The 20,140-nt window shown below is 46.1% G+C and overlaps 1 long non-coding RNA gene across 3 annotated transcripts in view, besides 2 other annotated features; it reads right to left on the bottom strand.

Annotated features, from left to right (window-relative positions):
* Positions 292–921: an enhancer, noted in NCBI's record as "NANOG-H3K27ac-H3K4me1 hESC enhancer chr20:42860439-42861068 (GRCh37/hg19 assembly coordinates)". NCBI's record gives its function as "activates a minimal SCP1, AML or CMV promoter by ChIP-STARR-seq in naive H9 embryonic stem cells {active_cell/tissue: H9 hESC(naive)}" and the evidence as "EXISTENCE:reporter gene assay evidence [ECO:0000049][PMID:30033119]".
* Positions 6,693–20,140, bottom strand: part of OSER1-DT (OSER1 divergent transcript) — a 15,068-nt gene continuing 1,620 nt past the window's right edge. For all 3 annotated transcript variants that reach the window (NR_038339.2, NR_038338.2, NR_038337.2), the window contains exons 2-3: positions 17,717–17,832; positions 6,693–7,899 (exon numbers count right to left, since the gene is read on the bottom strand). This is a non-coding gene — a long non-coding RNA (OSER1 divergent transcript). The remainder of the gene's footprint in view (positions 7,900–17,716; positions 17,833–20,140) is intronic.
* Positions 17,410–17,499: a silencer, noted in NCBI's record as "silent region_12940". NCBI's record gives its function as "represses an Ori minimal core promoter by ATAC-STARR-seq in GM12878 lymphoblastoid cells {active_cell/tissue: GM12878}" and the evidence as "EXISTENCE:reporter gene assay evidence [ECO:0000049][PMID:35858748]".

The following is a 20,140-nucleotide window of genomic DNA, read 5'->3' as shown; positions in this document are numbered from 1 at the left end:
TAAATAATAAATATAAATATAAATATAAATAAAATATAAATAAAAAATATATATAAATAAAAATAAATAGGTGCACAGCCTATTTATTTATAAAATAAATTTATAAAAATAAATTTATTTAAAAAATATAAATATAAAAAATATATAAATATAAATAAATAATTAGGCGCCCAGCCTATTTACTTATTTTTGAGACAGAGTCTTGCTGTGTCGCCAGGCTGGAGTGCAGTGGCATGATCTTGGTTCTCTGCAACCTCTGCCTCCTGGGTTCAAGCGATTCTCCTCTCTCAGGCTCCCATGTAGATGGGACTACAGGCACCCACCACCACGCCCAGCTAATTTTTGTATTTTTAGTAGAGATAGGGTTTCACCGTGTTGGCCAGGCTAGTCTTGAACTCCTGACCTCAGGTCATTTGCCCGCCTCAGCCTCCCAAAGTGCTGGGATTATAGGCATGACCCACCGTGCCCAGCCGCTTTCCCTATTTTTAAAGCTCTCATAGAGGACTGTGATCCTCCCCTCTGCCCCAGGGTCTTGCTACTCAAAGCATAGTCTAAAGCATCAGCACAGCACTGGGAGCTTGTAAGAAATGCAGAGTCTCAGGCCCTACCCTAAGCCCACAGTTTAGCAGACTTCCAGGAGATTGGCATGCACTTTAATTGTGAGAAGCTCTGCTGTAAGGCACACAGGCTCCTTTTGGGAGGACAGCCGATTAGGTCCTCCAATCAGGGCTGGCCCATCTTCTCGTCCTTCCCCACCCAGCTCTTGAAGCTGCGAAAGTTTTTTCAGTGTCATCAGCATAGCTGGCCCCCAAGTGTCTGGCCCTTGCTGCCCCCTGCTGTGGCCATCTGCTCATGAATACCCTGTCAGAAGGTCTGGGCATGTGCAGTTTGGTGAATCAGCAGGGGTTTGCAGGCCCTTCCTGCCAGGGAAGGGCATCACAGACCCTCGGCATCCACTCAAGGAGCAGACTATGGGATTGCATGCTTCACCCAAGGAAGATCTAAAGGTCTTTAGATCTGCAGGTTGGAGAAAATGACAGACTTGTTCTGTGAGGTTCTGGGACCAATCAGAGGAAGTTATAGGGAGCGCTGTTGCAGTTCAATATAAGGAAAAGGTTCAAACAAGCAGGAAGGGGCTGAGGCAGAGGGCAGTGAACATCCTGTTTCTGAAAAGAACATGCAGGGGTTGAATGACCTTCTTTCAGGGAGAACCTGTGGGTTGGGTGTGAGCTTGGAGGGGGCCTCCACTCAGGGCTGGAACATGCAGCCTCCCCAAAGGCAGGGAGGCCGGGTCATGGCGCGAGAAGAGCATGGGGAGCGAGATGATTCAGGATTCCTCTGTGTCTCTCCCTGCCAACGTTGATTCATCAAACCGCGCCTATGCCCAGACCTCCTGACAGTTTCCATAATGAGAGAGCTGTGGCCAAGGTCATGGGGCATGAAGGCAGTTTGGTTAAACACAAACTGTCTGAGTGTGAAATAACTTCCATGTTGGTCTCTGCTAGTTTGTAAGCTCAGTAAGGTCAGTGGCGGCTACCTGTTGAGTCTGCAGCACCTGGCAGAGGGTCCGGCAGATAATATTCATAGCATCTGCCCAATAAATATTTGTTGACTTCAATATAATTGGTTGAAAATATTAGTCCCTTGTTTGTTTTTATTTTGAGACAGTCTCATTCTGTTGCCCGGGCTGGAGTGCAGCGGCGTGATCTCAGTTGACTGCAACCTCTGCCTCCTGGGTTCAAGTGATTCTCCCGCCTCAACCTCCCAAGTAGCTGGGACTACAGGTGCATGCCACCATACCTGACTTTTTGTATTTTTAGTAGAGACAGGGTTTCACCATGTTGGCCAGGCTGGTCTCGAACTCCTGACCTCAAGTGATCTGCCTGCCTCAGCCTCCCAAAGTGCTGGGATTACAGGCGTGAGCCACCACTCCCGGCCCCTTGTGTTTTTTTTTTTTTTTTTTGAGACAGAGTTTCTCTCTTGTCACCCAGGCTGGAGTGCAATGCCGGGATCTCGGCTCACTGTAACCTTTGCCTCCTAGGTTCAAGCAACTCTCCTGCCATAGCCTCCCCAGTAGCTGGGATTACAGGCGTCCGCCACACCTGCCACATTTTTATATTTTTAATAGAGACAGGGTTTCACCGTGTTGGCCAGGCTGGTCTCGAACTCCTGACTTCAGGTGATCCGCCCACCTCAGCCTCCCGAAGTGCTGGGATTACAGGCATGAGCCACTGCACCCGGCCCCTTGCGTGTTTCTTATTGATAATTTTTATCACTGTAGGATAATTTGACATCCTTTCGTGCCCTTTTGAGCACTTTTGTCAGCTGTTCAAATTTTATGGTTTTTTTTTCCTTGATTTCTCTTTATGCTCTAATTCTTCTTCACCCAACTTATATGTGCACTGCACTCGTTGTAACAGCAACACAACTAGAATATCCTAAAGGGCCCACAAAAGACGGTTTGTTAAATTAAGCTCAGTATATTAGTAAGGGACAACAGCAAATTGCAAAATAGCCTGTGTGGTCAGATCTCATTAAAGGTATTTTTGATATGTATGCAAAGAAAATACTTAAAACACTGGTTCTTGTTTCAATGAGTCAAGAACCTCTCTGTGAATTGAATGAGAGGTAGAAACTTGAACCCAAACACACAACTTTAGTGAATTCAGGGGCTCCCTTCCCCAAAAGCAGGCTACTAATCCGGGTTAAGAATCACATATTGACCAAGTGTTGTGACTCACGCCTGTAATTCCAGCACCTTGGGAGGCCGAGGCCGGCAGATCACTTGAGGTCAGGAGTTCGAGACCAACCTGGCCAACATGGTGACACTCCATTTCTACTAAAAATACAAAAAATTAGCCGGATATGGTCGGGGGCTCCTGTAATCCCAGCTACCCAGGAGGCTGAGGCAGGAGAATTGCTTGAACAGGAGAGGCGGCGGTTGTAGTGAGCCCAGATTTCACCACAGCACTCCAGCCTAGGTGACAGAGTGAGACTACATTTCAATAAAACAAAAGGAAAAGAACCACGTATCTAGAAGGCTTCCACCAGGATGCCACGGCCTTTGGGTGGGTGGAATCATGGGTGTTCTTTAGGAGCTACTTTTTGCTTGGCTGTATTTCTTTTTTTTCCTTCCTATTCTGAGCATTGGTTACTTTTGAATAAGAGACAGGAGCTGGACTTACTCTAAACTCTACTTTAAATCTCTAGTTCATTTTAGCCAGCTTTCTCTAATTGGCAGTGTTTTTGAGGAAACTTCAGATTGAAAAAGGGTGAATGCTTCCAATAACCAGTTAATGAGGAAGCTGAGGCCCAAGAGGTCCAGTGATTTATCTGCCCAGGATGGGCAGCAGGGCAGGCTGAGAACTCAGGCCCATCTCCTTATGTCCTCTCCTCCCCTCCCGATTACTGCCATCTCTCCACGTCAGCAATGCTCAGGTGTCTCCGGCATTCATGGCCTCACAGCTTGGACACTCCATGCCCCTGACATGACTGGTGTGGATTCTAGAGAGTGGAGACGTTAGACCACGCAACCTCCACATACACCTTTGCTTTACTGGAAAACCACACTGGGCTGCAGATCAAACACACAGAACTGCTGGCAGAAGTCCTGTGCCCGGCACCAGGGCCAGGAGCTGTCTGCCCACTCTGAACGTCGGCTATTGGAGGAGCCCACTCCACACGATTCACAAGGGCTGCAGGCAAGTCTACGCTACTTCTACCACGTGGGAAATTTTCTTGGGAATATCCAAGTGATACCAACAAGTTCCCCGTGGACACTTCGTCCAGGCTGACTCTGGCTGACTCTGCACCAAGTGGAAGGAGTGCGGTACTGCTCCAGGAGTCCTTGCCATGCCGGGTGGGGGGGTGGGGGGTGGGAGTGGGTGAGACTGGGCTCCACTCCATTTCCACTCTGACGGGACATAGTGGAGATGAGGAGGGAATGTGAGCCCCACCAGAGCCTATGCCAGCAGCTCCAGCTCCAGCTCCGCAGCAGCACCAGGGGGCTTGGCTCAGCTCTGACAGCCCTGGAATTTCACTGGGCAAATAGATCTCAGGTTTCAAAGCTGGGAAATGAACGTGGGCATGAAATGTGCCCCTGGGCAGATGAGTCCATGGTGTATGTGCTGGGTTTCCCAGGGTCAGCCGCAAGGTACATTTTGTTTTGGAGGTCTGCTCAGTGGTAACGAGTCTCTCTGGGCCAAGGTGATTCTTGGAGATGGCCCCTGGGCCTGGGTGTCAACCAGGTGAAAATGGTTTGGAAGAGCAATAGAGGAATTCTGATGGCCAGAGGATGGGAGACTGGAACCTGAAGCACGGATGGATTCTCAAGGCCCGCACTGAGGACTTCCTTCTATACCTCATCAAGGAAAAACACACAGGCACGTACACAATTAAGTCTTAGGAACACACTGCAACATCAGTCAACAGTTAATGGTCCAAGAGGTAGAGACCTTTAAAAAAACCCCTTGATGGCGCCGAGTGCAGTGACTCACTCCTGTAATCCCAGCACTTTGGGAGGCTGAGGTGGGTGGATCACGAGGTCAGGAGTTCGAGACCAGCCTGGCCAACATGGTGAAACCCCATCTCTACTAAAAATACAAAAATTAGCCGGTCGTGGTGGTGGGTGCCTGTAGTCCCAGTTACTCAGAAGGCTGAGGCAGGAGAGTTGCTTGAACCCGGGAGGTAGATGTTGCAGTGAACCGAGATTGCGCCATTGCACCCCAGCATGAGCAACAGAGGGATACTCCGTCTCAAAAATAAATAAATAAATAAAAAATCCTTAATGGCCTTTCAAAAGAATTATAGAAATCATACATGTTCATTATATCAAATTCAAGTAATATATAAAGGAAGAAATAAAGATATCTCTATTATCCTGAAAAGGTATAGAATAAATTATCATTTTGCAAACTACCAGATTGGCAAGATTGGAAAGAATGACACTGTCCCCCACTGGCAATCTTGGTGGAGGCCAGGGTTTCTCATCCTTGGAACTATTGACATAACTCTTTGTTGTGGGGGACTCTCCTGTTTATTGTAAGGTGTCAAGCAGCATCCCTGCCTTCTGTCCACTAGATATCAGTAGCATCTCCGTCACCATCCCCCAAGTTGTGACAGCCAAAAATATCTCCAGGCATTGCCAAATGTCCCCTCAGGGGCAGAACCTCAGAGGAAGAAGCATCTCTGGCTGAGAACTACCGTAGGCCAATGGGTGCCCCAAACACCACTGGTGGGAGTGGAATCCAGGAATTCTGCCTGTTCATCAAATATTACAATCTGTGTTACCAGCAACTTCACTTCAAAATACATTTACAAGAGGACAAACTTGTTTGACAAGCATTTTAATGCAGCACCATTGGTAATATTTTAAACATTGGTAATAACCAGGCCAGGTGTGGTGGCTCACACCTGTAATCCCAGCACTTTGGGAGGCTGAAACAGGTGGATCACCTGAAGTCAGGGGTTTGAGACCAGCCTGGCCAACATGTTGAAAACCCATCTCTACTAAAAATACAAAAATTAGCCAGGTATGGTGGCGCATGCCTGTAATCCCAGCTACTCGGGAGGCTGAGGCAGGAGAATCACTTGAACCCAGGAGGCGGAAGTTGCAGTGAGTCGAGATCGCACCACTGCACTCCAGCCTGGGAGACAGTGAGACTCTGTCTCTAAATAAATAAATAAATAAATAAAATAATAAAAATTGGTAATAACCCAAATTAAATAATACATTAAATATACATACCTGTAAAATGCCCAGACATTGAAAAGAGACATTGAAAAGAGTTTCTGTGTCTGTCTTTTTTTTTTTTTTTTCTAAGACGGAATTTCACTCTTGTTGCCCAGGCTGGAATGCAATGGTGAGATCTTGGCTCACTGCAACCTCCGCCTCCCGGATTCAAGTGATTCTCCTGCCTCAGCCTCCTGAGTAGCTGGGATTACAGGCACGTGCCACCATGCCCGGCTAATTTTTGTATTTTTAGTAGAGACGGGATTTCACCATGTTGGCCAGGCTGGTCTCGAACTCCTGACCTCAGGTGATCCACCCGCCTCGGCCTCCCAAAGTGCTGGGATTACAGGTGTGAGCCACCGCGCCTGGCCATGTCTTTCTTTCTAGAATAGAAAAGTAGCTCTGATGTAGCAAGGTCTTAAAATCATGAGGAGGATAAATCAAGATGCAGTATAGGGGACATTTTTATAAAATTTAAAGAACAAACTGTACAAACAAGTGCACGTGTACATGTACTGAAAAAGTATACACAGAGAAATATGCATGGGTTTAGTTTATTTAAAGCCTGGAAGGAGGTGTACTAAACCACAAACAGCAGGCAGCTGTCTCTCTGCAGAGTAGAATGGAGGGGCGTGGGGGAGCACATGACAATTTTCGTTTCTACTTTAAGTATGTCAGCCCCATCCCATTAATGGATATATTATACTCAAAGGAAAAGAAATCGTTCTACCACAAAGACACACGCACCCACATGTTCACTGCAGTGCTATTCACAATAGCACAGACATGGAATCAACCCAGGTGTGGATCAACAGTGGATGTGATAAAGAAAATATGGTACATATACACCGTGGAATATTAGGCAGCCATATAAGAGAATGAAATCGTGTCTTTTGTAACAACGTGGATGTAGCTGGAGGCCATTATCCTAAGTGGATTAACATAGAAACAGAAAACAAAATCATACACCACATTCTTTTTATTTTTTTATTTTTATTTTTTTGAGATGGAGTCTCACTCTGTCACCCAGGCTGGAGTGCAGTGGTACAATCTCAGCTCACTGCAACCTCCACCTCCCCGGTTCAGGCGATTCTCCTGTCTCAGCCTCCCGAGTAGCTAGGACTACAGGTGCCCACCACCACACCCGGCCAATTTTTTATGTTTTTAGTAGAGACAGGGTTTCACTTTGTTAGCCAAGATGGTCTCGATCTCTTGACCTCATGATCCACCCACCTCGGCCTCCCAAAGTGCTGGGCATGTTCTTACTTCTAAGTGGGAGCTAAACATTGAGTACACATGGTCATAAAAATGGGAACAGCAGACACTGGGGAACACAAGAATGGAGAGGGATGGGAGTAAGGGTTGAAAAAACCACTTATCGGGCACTATGCTCACCACTGGGGTGACTAATTCATTCGTACTCCCAAACCTCAGCAGCCCACACTGTACCTATGTAACAAACCTGCACATGTACCCCAATTCTAAAATAAAGGTTAAAAAAGAAAAAGATATTTCAGCATCACTTGTTTCATCTTACAAGGGCATTGTAAAATAATAAAGATAAAAGTTAAGAGATAGGAAAAGAAAAAAAAGGGAAAAAGAAAAAAACCCTCATTGGAGTCCTGTTCTGCCCACCCCTGGAGTTACTAAGTAAGCCCAACTTAAGGGGTCCCTTGAGCTCCAGACTGTAAAGCCCCCAAGGCAGCATCATCCACACCACCTTATCAGATCCTCAAAGCAATTCTTCTAAGTTGGTAGACCGGGGTAGTTATTTCCATTCTGCAAATGGGGAAACTGAGACTCAGAAAGTACAGTGACTTGCCCAAGGGCCCACAAGAAGTGGTGGCCCTGGAGGGATGAGAGGGAACCCAGTTCTCTGGAGTCCCAGGCCGCTGTTCCTTCTGCTGCAACTCCCCAAGTAACAGGAACAGGTGCAGCAATGGGCATTTACAATCAAGGGCCAAACATGCAACCCTGTTCAAGCTCGTGCCTCAACTCCTTCAATTCCTCGTCAGCTTTTATTCCTTCAAAGCTGGTATTCATCTTTCTGAAGTAATTTCCATCCTTCTGGCTCTTCTTTTCTGAAGGCAGCACGCTTTAGAAAGAGCAGGGCTTGACATCTGACTGTCACTCACGAGCTCAAGTGGCTTCGCCTCTCTGGGGCTCATCTGCAAAATGGAGATAAACACAGTAACTCCCAGAATCATTCTGAGGATCAAGGCAGTCATGTGTGAATGCATTTTGTAAAATACAGAGCACTGGGGAATACTGATTTTACTTTAACAAAATAAAACTCTAGCTCTCTTTCTGGGAGGTTAGGATACCAGCAGTAGGGTAACTTAAAGGGAGAGTACACCGAACAGGAATCTCAAGTTGAAACAGGCACAAGTATTGGCAATGTAAGTTGGGAAGGCCACACACAGATTTCAGATAATGGGTCAGTCCAGCTAAGCTCGTACCTTTAATAGACTTCTTTAAAATATATTACTGGGCTTTGGGACTGTGCTGTCACCAGGGAGCGAGGCCACATGCTAAACATCTTAAAGCAGGGGCGACAGAGAAACAGAGAAACCAGTGAATTGGCTAGGCACGGTGGCTCACACCTGTAATCCCAACACTTTCAGAGGCCACGGTGGGTGGATCACTTGAGGTCAGGAGTTTGATACCAGCCTGGCCAATATGGTGAAACCCTGTCTCTACAAAAAATACAAAAAAGATTAGCTGGACGTGGTGGTGTGAGCTTGTAATTCCAGCTACTCGGGGCGCTGAGGCAGGAGACTCGCTTGAACCCTGGAGGCGGGGATTGCAGTGAGCCGAGATGGTGCCACTGCACTCCAGTTTGGGTGACACAGCAAGACTCCGTCTCAAAAAAAAAAAAAAAAATTTCCAGCACTGAAAATTATATTTCCACCCGCAGGAGAACAGACCAGGCAGGAAACAGGGTGAATATGTCCACTCAGGGTTTATGGGACTGTTAGCTAATTTAAGAACATTGTAACAGGCAGCATAGGTAGAAGCACCTTGAGCATGGGACCAACCCCCACCAACCCAAGGACATGTAGTAAAACCTGCCTTGTAAAGAAATAGCAACAAAGGTGGACTTTGAAAAAGCTCACCTCGCTACCTGAAAGGGTGTGGTGAGGATGGCCCTAATACACACACTGCTGAGAGTAACGGTTGAGAACTTTCCTTTGAAGCAATTTATTAGTGTGTTGCCGGAGACTTTAAACGGTTTATACCTTCCCACCCAGGAGTTCCAGGTGTAAAATTCTAAGAAAATAATCAGACAAGGATTTTTGGTTTAGAGTTTTTTATTACAACAAACACCCACACACACCCCTAATTGTCCAGAAACGGGTGGATGGTTAACTACAGAATAAGTTATGAATATATTTAAATGATGGACTATTATACAGTCATTAAAATAATGTTTTGAGGAATAGTTTGTGACATAAAAACGCTAATAGTAAATTGAAGGAAAGCAGGATATAACACGTATGCCCAGTGTATGAGGCTGTTTGTGCACTGATACAAATAAATGCCTGAGTCTGTCTTTATAAAGAAAACAAGTTTAATTTGTTCTTGGTTCTGCAAGCTGTATAGGAAGTGGGGTGCTGGCATCTGCTTCTGGTGAGGCCATAGGGAATTTACAGTCATGGTGGAAGGCAAAGGGGAGCCTGTGTGTCACATAGCAAGAGCAGGAACAAGAGAGAGGGGAGGTGCCGCACACCTTTAAACAATCAGATCTCCCATTAGCTCACTCATCACCACAGGATGGCGCTAAGCCAAGCATGAGGAATATGCCCCCATGATCCAAACACCTCCCACCAGGCCCCACCTCCAACACTGGAGATTACAGTTCGACATGAGATTTGGAGGGGACAAACATCCAAGCCAGTTCACACAGTGTACCAGCAATTAAAATGCACACACTTAAAATACTAATGATAATAGTAGCAGTGGCTAATGTTGTTGGATGCTATATTAGTCTGTTTTGCGATGCTATAAAGGAATAGCTGAGACTGGGTAATGTATACAGAAAAGAAGTTTGCTTGGGTCACAGTTCTGCATGGCACCAGCATCTGCCTGGCTTCTAGTGAGTGTCTCAGGCTGCTTCCACTCATGGCAGGAGGTGAAGCGGAGCCGGCCTGCACAGATAACACGGCCAGAGAGGGAAGCAAGAGGGAGGAGGCAGGAGGTACCAGGCTCTAACAAATGGGCCTGGGGTGAACTCATTACCATGGGAGGGCACCATGCCATTCCTGAGGGATCCACCCCCATGACCCAAACACCTCCCATCAGGCCCCACCTCCAACACTGGGGGTCACAGTTTGACCTGAGATTTGGAGGGGACAAATATCTAAGCCATATCAGATGCTATGAGCCGGGCAGTGTTCTACCACATTAGTCATTTCATCCTCTCCTAGCCCTCTAAGGGAAGTCCTACGATTACTATCATCATCCCCATTTTTCAGAGGAGTAAACTGGGCACAGGGGCTTGGGCAGTGTGCCCAAGGCCACACAGAGGGGTGGGCATCTGAGGCAGGGCTTCTCAGAGGCAGTGTGGCTCCTAGGCGCTCCGCAACACCTTTACCAAATGCTGCCAGGGGACATCCTCAAGGACAGGGGCCAAGTCGAATGCTTCTGAGGCAAAGGCCAAGCCCCTCAACTGAGTATCCCAAAGACAAGACCGCCTTCAGCTTGCAATCAGAAAGACCTGGGCTCAAATCCGGCATAGATCCTTCTGACCTGTGTGAAAGCAGCAAGCTATTTTCCTCTCTGAGCCTCAGTTTCCTCATCTGTAAAATGGGGATAAATAATAGTACCTGCCTCCCAGGGCTAACCAGGAGATAAAAATGATAAGGTGCCTGAGTCTTTATATTTTCTAAATTTTCTATAAAGGTATATTTTTCTTTTGTTAAAATTATTTTTTATTAAAAAATAATATATTAACACATTAAAATATTTCCAAAGTTTGGGGGGGTATTAAATAACCCAGGAGCCAGACGGATGGGAGGAGATGAATCACATTCGATTTGATTCAATTAAACTGGAAGGGACTGGGGAAAGGCCAGGAGACCAGGCTTAGGGGGAAAGATAACCTGCTCAATTAGAAACACATCATGTTTCACCAGGTGTCAGAGGGACATCCACATAGGCGACTGAATAGGAAGACTGTGGACACAGAGGTGTGGCATCGAGGAGACACATGGGCTGCAGATATGAATGTGGTATCAGCAGCAGGCAGATGTGACCTGAAGCTATGGAAGACATTTACTGTTTCTGCCTGCCCTTTCCCTCTACCCCTTTTATGGGTGACAGCAGCCCACTTTTCCCTTTGGAGAAGTACCCCACCCCTTTCCACACAGTCTTGGTGAGACAATCAAAGTGTCCTGCCACCCAAGCAGTGGGCACATCTGCCAAGACAGGTGTAAAGGAGGATATTTCTTGAGATGAAACCAAATGCACTTCTGTTGTGGCTAATTCCTAATTCCTAGTTAGCCTGCAGCTCCCTCCAGCCACTGAATCAATGGGAGCCATTGCCTGGCTCTGTTTTAAATTAGATTTCTTGAGTCTGTGGACATTAGTGTTAAAATGTGACTTCGTTGAGGCAGAAACAGTTTTCCTAACTTTCAAAATATTCCCTTTACAGAGCAAGAGGACAACCTGGGGATGAGAGGATAGAGATTTTCTATAGGCCATAGTGTGGAGATGACACAGTATAAGGTTCAGACAAGTTCCTGTACAGCAAGCAGGGCAAAAGCCTTCTGGTGCTGCCAAGGAAAAAAAAAAAGCAGGACAAGAGTTCAGGTGCAAGTGTCTACCCTCCTCGAAGGAAAACTCCTATGTAGGACTAAGAAGCATCTGGACAGGTTTGGGGGACAGTAGGATCCCACTTTCCCAAGCACAGCCCAGGGAGAGATGCCCCCCACTGACCACGTGACAGCACTAAGCTGGCACCGAAGCTGTGGTAACAGCAGCCCGTTGTCCCCTTGACCTGTGGGTGCCATGTAGGTGGTAATCCAGATGTGTCCACATGTCCCAGTGATGTGCTAAGTGGACTGAGGGACAAAGAGAGGCCAGGTGACAAGCTGCGAGGGTTGTGGCACATGAGGACCTCATGGCTACAGACAGGCAATTTTCTAAGCAGGTCCGTGTACTGCTCAGGAACTAAATCAGGTTCACCCCATTTTGGTAGGTTCCACCATAATCCGTAATGCCCGGGGACAAATTCCGAGCGACCACGTGGGAGTGAAGACCAGCAACAGGCAGGGAATGGCATCTGAGCCATAAAGCTTACCCACTGCCCCCTTATACCCAGATGCCACGCCGGGAGGATGGGAGCACACAGGAGAGAGGAGGATCCTGAACACTGAATATCTGTGCAAAACAGAGCGCTGTAAACCAGAAGAGAAGGAAATATCCCCTCAAGTTGGGAGAATGGAAGTTTGAGATGAAAATGAGATTAGATGAAAATACAGGGCTGGGTGTGGTGGCTCGTGCCTGTAATCCTAGCACTTTGGGAGGTCCAGGCGGGCAGATCACTTGAGGTCAGGGTTCGAGACCAGCCTGGCCAACATAGTAAAACACCCGTCTCTGCTAAAAATGCAAAAATTAGCCAGGAATGGTGGCGCATGCCTGCGGTCCCGGTTACTCGGGAGGCTGAGGCAGGAGGATAGCTTGAACCTGGGAGGTGGAAGTTACAGTGAGCCGAGATCGTGCCACTGCACTCCAGCCTGGGCGACAGAGCGAGACGCCATCTCAAAAAAAAAAAAAGAAAAGAAAAAGAAAAAATACAAAGGAAGTTACAGTTTTTGCCCCTGTGAGTAGGAGTGGGTCAAATATGACCCTGCCATGAAAGCCAATCAGTTTCTTTCCTGGGAATTTGAATCTTGTACGGAGAGATGTATCAGGAACAAAGATGTGTGGAACTGAATCGCCTGAGGCAATGCTCAGAGATTCCTGGCACCTGGGAAGGGCTCGGTCTGGCTCCCAGGCTGATAAGGCCTAGCTGTTTAGCTTTTCCTTTTGTTGAGTGAGCTTTCTGACATTCTTCTAGTGGATTCCTTTTTCACTCGAGCAAGTCAGATTTGTTTTCCATATTCTCCAACCCGGCATCATCCTGGAAGTGAATGTGAGATGAGAAGACAGCCAAGGCATGGCCCCTGAGGGTCAGCAGACCGGCAAGAAAAGAGGAGCCTGCAGAGGAGATAGAAAAGGTGAGGCTGAGAGGGTGCCCCTGTGAGCAGTGGCCACAGGGACTGAAAGGAGAGCGAGTGGAGGAGGCGGCTGTGTTCAGCGTCAGGCAGGGCTCAAAACTCAAGCAACATGAGAATGAGACTAGGGCCACTGTATTCAGCAACAAGGAGGTTATCCATGACCTTGGCAAGGAACGTTTTGGTGAGATAGAAGTCTGGTTGCAGTAGATTGAAGAAAGGGTGGTGAGACAGAGACACAGAGACACACACACACACACACACACACACACACAGAGAGAGAAGGGGGGTGGGTGGAGAGGGGAAGAAGTACAGCCACTGAGAGAGAGAGAGAGACAGAGAGAGACCGACCCAGAGAGAGAGAGAAGGGGGGTGGGTGGAGAGGGGAAGAAGTAGAGCCACTGGCTAAGGCTCCAACAGGGAGAAAAGGACAGGAGCTCTGTGGGGAACCTGGGTAGAAGGGGGCTTTGTGGGTTTGGGGTTTGCTTTTTTTGTTTTTGGTTTTACTATGACAGAAGACATGATGTGTGTTTGCATATACAGAAGAAAGTGAGTTTCCTGAGAAGGGAGGAGAGCTGGGATTGGTTTTAGCTAGGAGGAGGGAAAGGAGAAAGGATGGCTATAGAGACAGGCAAAGATAAGGGATGGAGAGCAAGATTTCATATCTATTGGTTTCTGAAAACACAGATATACTTTTCTGGTGAAAACTTCTCTTCTCCCCCTCAGGCAGAGTTAGATGCTCATGAATACATAAGCTGAAAATGAAATACTTTGAAAAATGATAGCTAGCTGAGTGTCAACACTTGAGGGGCAAGATTGGTTTTGAGCATATGGAGGGTAAAGAAAGAATTCTTGAGAGTTAGGCTGAGCCAGGAAACTGCAATACACTTTCCTGAACTGTGTTCAAATGTGGAGTAAGCTGAAGACTCTCACCAAGACACAGCTCAGTTCAAACTGAAAAACCAAACCCACCTATTCTTTAATTGGGCAGATATAATAATTTATGAATTCCTAAAGGCTTAGCTCAGCAGCTTTAGAGCAGGAACTCTAAACTTTGTTTTGTTTTGCACAGGTTATACACTGACATGATTCAAAAATCAGAACACAAGGTATACACTCAGAAGCCCGGCCCCTCCTGCTGGCCCCCAACCACTTCCTGAAACACTTCTTAGTTACTTGTCTAGCTTATCAGTTTTTCTTTATGAAGATAGAAGCAATACAAACATATATTCTTAGCTGTACGTCGTGCTTTTTTTCACCTATATCTTAGAGATCTTTCCTCAGCGCACACACAGCTTCCTCAAACTTTTTCCCAGTTATATAGTATTTTGCTTTGTGGATGCACCAGTCCTGTACATACACTTCAGTTGTTTCTGATCTTTTGCTATTGCAGCCAATGTTGCAATGGATCATCTTTTACATAAATTATTACATATAGGTACAAATGTCATCTACAGGGTAGACTCTTAGACTTGTAATTTTGGTAGATATTGCCCAAATCAACAGGGCTGTCAATTTCACAATCCCACTGGTAATGTATTAAAAGTCCTGCTATTTATTCTCCCGACTCCCCCACCTCCAGCCCCATCCACAGGGCATGCTGTCAAGCTTTGGGATTTCTGCCAATCTGACAGGTTAAAAATGGTATCTCCGCATACTTTTTATAAGCACTTCTCTTTGAAGATTGAGATTGAGCATTTTTTCATAAGTTTAAGTGCTATTTGTATTTCTTTTGCTGTGAACCGTCTGCTCATGTCCTTTGCTCACTTTCTCTATTCGGCTGCTGCAGGAGAAGTCCTTAACCAGTGGTCTGTGGCTTTCTCGGAGGAAGGGAGGGAGGGCTGTCTTGTGACTCAGATAAGGTTAAGAATTGTAGGGAAAAAAACCGCTCACCCTAACCTGATACCTATTTTGTGGTATACATAGAGATGTTTAAGTTTTAAAAACTTTTAACTGAAGTTTAGTTATACGCACAGAAAAATGTACATATACCACATTATAGCACACACTCCTATAACCAACATCGGGTCAAAGAACAATATTACCAGCACCCCAAAAGCCCCTCTCAACACTCCCTTCCAATCCTTACCACATGGAGATTCTTTCTTCTGCAGCTTTATTTCTTGATTCTATTCTAAAGGCAAGTGATCCACAAATCCCGGGTCTTCCACAGTTTTGAAGCCACAGTGAAGGGCTTCACCAACGGTAAGGAAAGAGGCCCTGCAGTCCTAGGGCTCCCTCTGCTGGTGATCAGCAGCTACCAGGAAAAGCTGCCCCTCCCCTCCTGGAGCTCTGAGGATTGACTGGAGTCTTGGAAATCAAATTGGTGCAGGCTTAATGGGAATCGGCACACAGGCGCATGGCTGAGGCATCAGAGTCCTCCTTTACCTCCTTTACTCTCCATCCTGTTAACATTTCGGGAAAGCAACTATCAAAACAATAGACCACAGTAGCTTGGGGGCTATGAAGAGAATGACAAGAAAGAGCGGCGAATTCCCGCTTCCCAACCCTTGCCTATTCCCCATCCACAAAAACAGGAGGCTGTTGTGAAAGGTCCTGCTGCTTGAATCAACTGTCAAAGGCATCAACAGTCCCCAGTCATGTTTCCAGAAAGCCAGTAGACAACTGGAATTATTTGCTGAGATGACTGACTGACTGATGGACTCACTGGCTCCTGTGGTAGGTACAGCTCCTATTCTGGTGGACTGCATGCGAAGTCCCATGGGACAACGGGGTCGGGCCATTTAACACACACAGGGGAGCAGGAGTTGAGGGAGGGAAAGTCAACATAATAGGTTTTTCTTGCCCTCCAGAAATTTAGAATCTAGCAGGAGATACAAGAAATGTACGGGTAAAGGGCTGAAAATAAGTTCAGGAGGGACCTGAAGAAGCTCCAGGTGAAATGTTACTGTGGTCGTAGAGACAGGGAGGGGACCTGAGCTGACGAAGTGGACGGGTGGTAGACAGAGGAGCTGGAGGCTCTTCAGTTGTAGGGAGGGGCAAAAAACAGATGCCCAGAGAAGCCAACAGGCCCCCAGTGGACTCTCATGGTAGAAGAAAGTGGGGAGGATCACCACCATTGAGGCAGGTCCTTAGGGCTGTGGCTCCAGGAACTCCATTTTGTCAGGGTACCCAGAGCCAAACAAATTCTGCGGGATGGACTATCTGTTGACTGAAGATCTATAAGCCAGGTGCAGTGTATTCATTTGCAGAAAGGACTATGTCCTTCCCACAACTGGAATGCTTGTGTTTGCCTTCCAGGGCTCCCTTGTTTCTTTCCTCTGATTATCTCCCACCCTCTCCTTAAGGGTCCTGACCTTTCCTGTGGCTTCAATGGCCACCTGTATGCAGACTCCACAGTCTTTATTTCCAGTCCCCACCTCCCATGTGAGCTTCAGAACCATATATCTGCATGCCTGCTAGACACCTCCACGCGGCTGCCCCACGGATCTCTCAGGTTCACTCTGTCCAAACTGAACTAATTTAGAGATATATCAGCACAGAGAGGCAGTGACAGCACAGACTCTACCAAGCTGCCTAGGTTCAAATTCTAGCTCTGCCACTTGTTAGCTGTGTGACCTTGGTGAGTTACTTAACTTCTCTTTGCTTCAGTTTCCTCATCTGGAAGATGAGTGTGATAATGGTAATCTCATAGAATTGTGGTGAGAATTAAAATGAGTCTTCTGATGCATAGGAAGAGCTATGAAAGTATTAGCCCTCATAGGCTGGGCATGGTAGCTCATGCCTGCAGTCCCAGCACTTTGGGAGGCTGAGGCAGGCAGATCACTTGAGGCCAGGAGTCCGAGAGCAGCCTGGCCAACATGGCAAAACGCTGTCTCCACAAACAAACAAACAAACAAAAATTAGCCAGGCATGGTGGCACACGTGGGTGACTAAGGCAGGAGAATCACTTGAATTAGGGAAGCAGAGGTTGCAGTGAGCCAAGATTGCACCACTGCACCCCAGCCTGGGCAACAGAGCAAGACTCTGTCTCAAAAAAAAGAAAAGAAAAGGAAAGAAATAAAAGAAAGTATTAGCTGTTACTATGATTCTCCATTTAAATGTTCTTCCTCTGCTCACTGTCAGCTGGGTTCAACAGAGTTTAATTGAGATGGGCACCAATATCCATTCAGTTGCTCAAACTGGAAAGCAAAGTATCATTGTCAGCTTTCTCTCACTGCCCATCCTGTTCGTAGTCAATCTCTCCCCAAGGCCTGATCTACGCAACTTTCCAATCGGCTCACTTGTTCTCCATACTTAGGGCCACCTGCCCCTTCGATCACCATCATCTCAGGCCTGGATCACCATGCCGGCTCACGCTGAAACCAGTCATCTTTCTAAAATAAATTTGGTCATTTCTTTCCATAGCTCCTACAGTTCTCAGAAGGAGAAACCTCAGGATAAGTCCCTTGCTGCAGCCTTTGGGACCTGATTCCTCCTTTCATCTGCACTTGAAACTTTTATGTTCAAAACCAAACCGTCTCACACTCCCCAAACCTAGTCTTCTTGGATTCCCTTCCTTAGTGAAGGGGGCCACCTACTGGCACGGCTCAGGCCAGACATCTGCTCAGCAGGCTGCCGAGCCCTGCTGGTCTCACCATCCTTCAGCCATGGTTCCCATTCTGGTCTTCCCTCAGATTATTTCGAGTGTCTTCTAACTGGTCTCTCTTACATTCCCCACCCTCCCCATCTACTTTCTAAGAGTCTGCTGGAATGATATAAATTGCTACTAAAAATACAAAAATTAGCAGAGCATGGTGGTGCTCACCTGTAATCCCAGCTACTGAGGAGGCTGAGGCACGAGAATCAGTCGAACCTGGGGGCGGAGGTTACAGTGAGCCAAGATTGTGCCATTTCACTCCAGCCTGGGTGACAGAGCGAGATCTCAAAAAAAAAAAAAAGGTTTCAATAGTTTCTGGCACACAACACTCAATGCCTTCCTTTAACAAGTAATTATTGAGAGCCAACTATGTGCCACATAGAGTTCAGGCCTTGGGGATACACTGTATTTTCATCAATTCTAAGACACCATCATTTTAAAGACTCACCACTTACTGTAGGAACAAGTAAGAAAGAAAAAAATACTACCAATTAAACCAGGACACACTGGCGATTATAAGACACATTCAGATTTTCTAACCGCTATTAATAAATTGTGGGAAAATGTGCATCTTTGATTAAAAAAAATAGTGACTAAAAAAAAGACACAAAGTCCCTGTCCTCGGGTAGCTTCTATTCTAGTGAGGGGACCAAAAAATAACTATACATTGTCAGGTAGTGACAAGTGCTATGATAAAGCAGGGTAAAGGGATACACAGTGAAGGGGGTGCTGGGGAAGCCAAGGAAGACCCCCCTGGGGAGCTGATATGAGCAGAGACTTTGAATGACAAGATGAACTGTGAGTAAACAATGCTCCAGGAGGGGAAATACATACAAAAGACCTGAGAGGGAAATATGCCTGCTGGGTTCAAATATATGCAAAGAAAGAGTGGCTGGAACAGTCCTAGGCCCTGGGCAGCCAATTTCCTCAAACCCAGTGGTATTTTCCAGGTGAAAGCAGGTATCCCTGGTCTAGCTGGGTACATACAGGAGGTGAAGGTGGGGAGGCTAAGGAAAGCAGTGTAACTCAGCGGTCAGCAGGGTGCTATAGTCAGACTGCCTAGATTGGAATCCCCGTTCTACCACTTACAAACTATGTAACCTTGGACAAGTTATCTAACTATTCTGAGCCTAGTTTCCTCAGCTGTAAAACAGACATCATAGAAGTACATTTCACAAATTGGTTATGAAGATTACATGAGCTAACATCTTGTAAATCAAGACAAATAATCATTATCACTATCTTCTATCCCAAAGTCATTTTAATTTAATTTTATTTTTTTTTTTGAGACAAGGTCTTGCTCTGTAGCCCAGGCTGGAGTGCCGTGGCATGATCTCAGCTCACTGCAACCTCCACCTCCTGGGTTCAAGGGCTTCTCATGCCTCAGCCTCCAAGTAGCTAGGATTACAGGTGTGTGCCCACCACTCCCAGCTAATTTTTGTATATTTATTTATTTATTTTTCAGTAGAGATGGGGTTTCACCATGTTAGCCAGGCTGGTCTCGAACTCTTGACTTCAGGTGATCCACCTGCCTCAGCCTCCCAAAGTGTTGGGATTACAGGCGTGAGCCACCACGCCTGGCCTACCCTAAGTCATTTAAAAAAGTATATCGAGGTAAGAAATAAATTAATTTGAGTCTTAAAACATAAGAACAGAATATTTTCCAGATTACCAACTGGTAGGATGGCAGCCACATGGTTAGGCAAATAATTTTCTTTATTACTTTGGACTTGGCTTCTCCAAAGTTATTTTTTAAGAGAAACTATTATCTTCCTATATAAATTGTTCTTGCAGTATAAATTCATGGAATTAAGTCTCTCTTACTAAAGCATGTACAAGACACTTGTAGCAAGAAAGAAGCACTGTTAGAGGAATTTTACATCTACCACAGCTTTTTAATTAAATGGCATTACCATGTGCATTAATACAAAGTTGATTTCTTCAATATAAAGTCCACACACAAATTCAGGTTTTTTTCCCATGGTTAAAAAGACTTGGAATTGCTGGTATAGGACACCGATCTGGCTTTTTGTTCACTCAGATCCATCCCATTTTGTAGCTTTTCTATCTCTTTCCAAGTCATGATGTATCACACCGTGAGCCAGTCCTATGTATAATGACTTAAAACTTCAGGCCACGTCAGGTGTGTGAGTTAACAGGCTTCAGCATTCACAAGAGGTTCCCACCTTCCAAGTACTCCCCGAGTAATGAGTCACATTCTTGGAAAGCATCTAACTCTTTATGATGGAGATGTGCTTACATAAAATGAAATACTGTAACTTTTTAGTTTTTGGTATTTAATATAATTAGGGATGGAAAGCAGGTAAAATGAGAATTCACCAAAACTGTATTGAGCATCTACTAATCCCCAGGAAGTGTGCTAAGCCCTGGGAATTCAATCACGATCCAGACAATTCTTTCCCCTCAAGGATATATGAGATTTTTTTTTTTTTTTTGAGACAGTTTTGCTCTGTTGGCCCAGGCTGGAGTGCAGTGGCGCAATCTCGGCTCACTGCAACCTCCGCCTCCCGGCTTCAGAGATTCTCCTGCCTCAGCCTCCCGGGTAGCTGGGATTATAGGTGCATGCGCCAC

This window comes from Homo sapiens, chromosome 20 (assembly GCF_000001405.40).
Source record: "Homo sapiens chromosome 20, GRCh38.p14 Primary Assembly".
NCBI lineage: Eukaryota > Metazoa > Chordata > Mammalia > Primates > Hominidae > Homo > Homo sapiens.
This window is presented reverse-complemented; position numbering and strand designations above follow the sequence as displayed.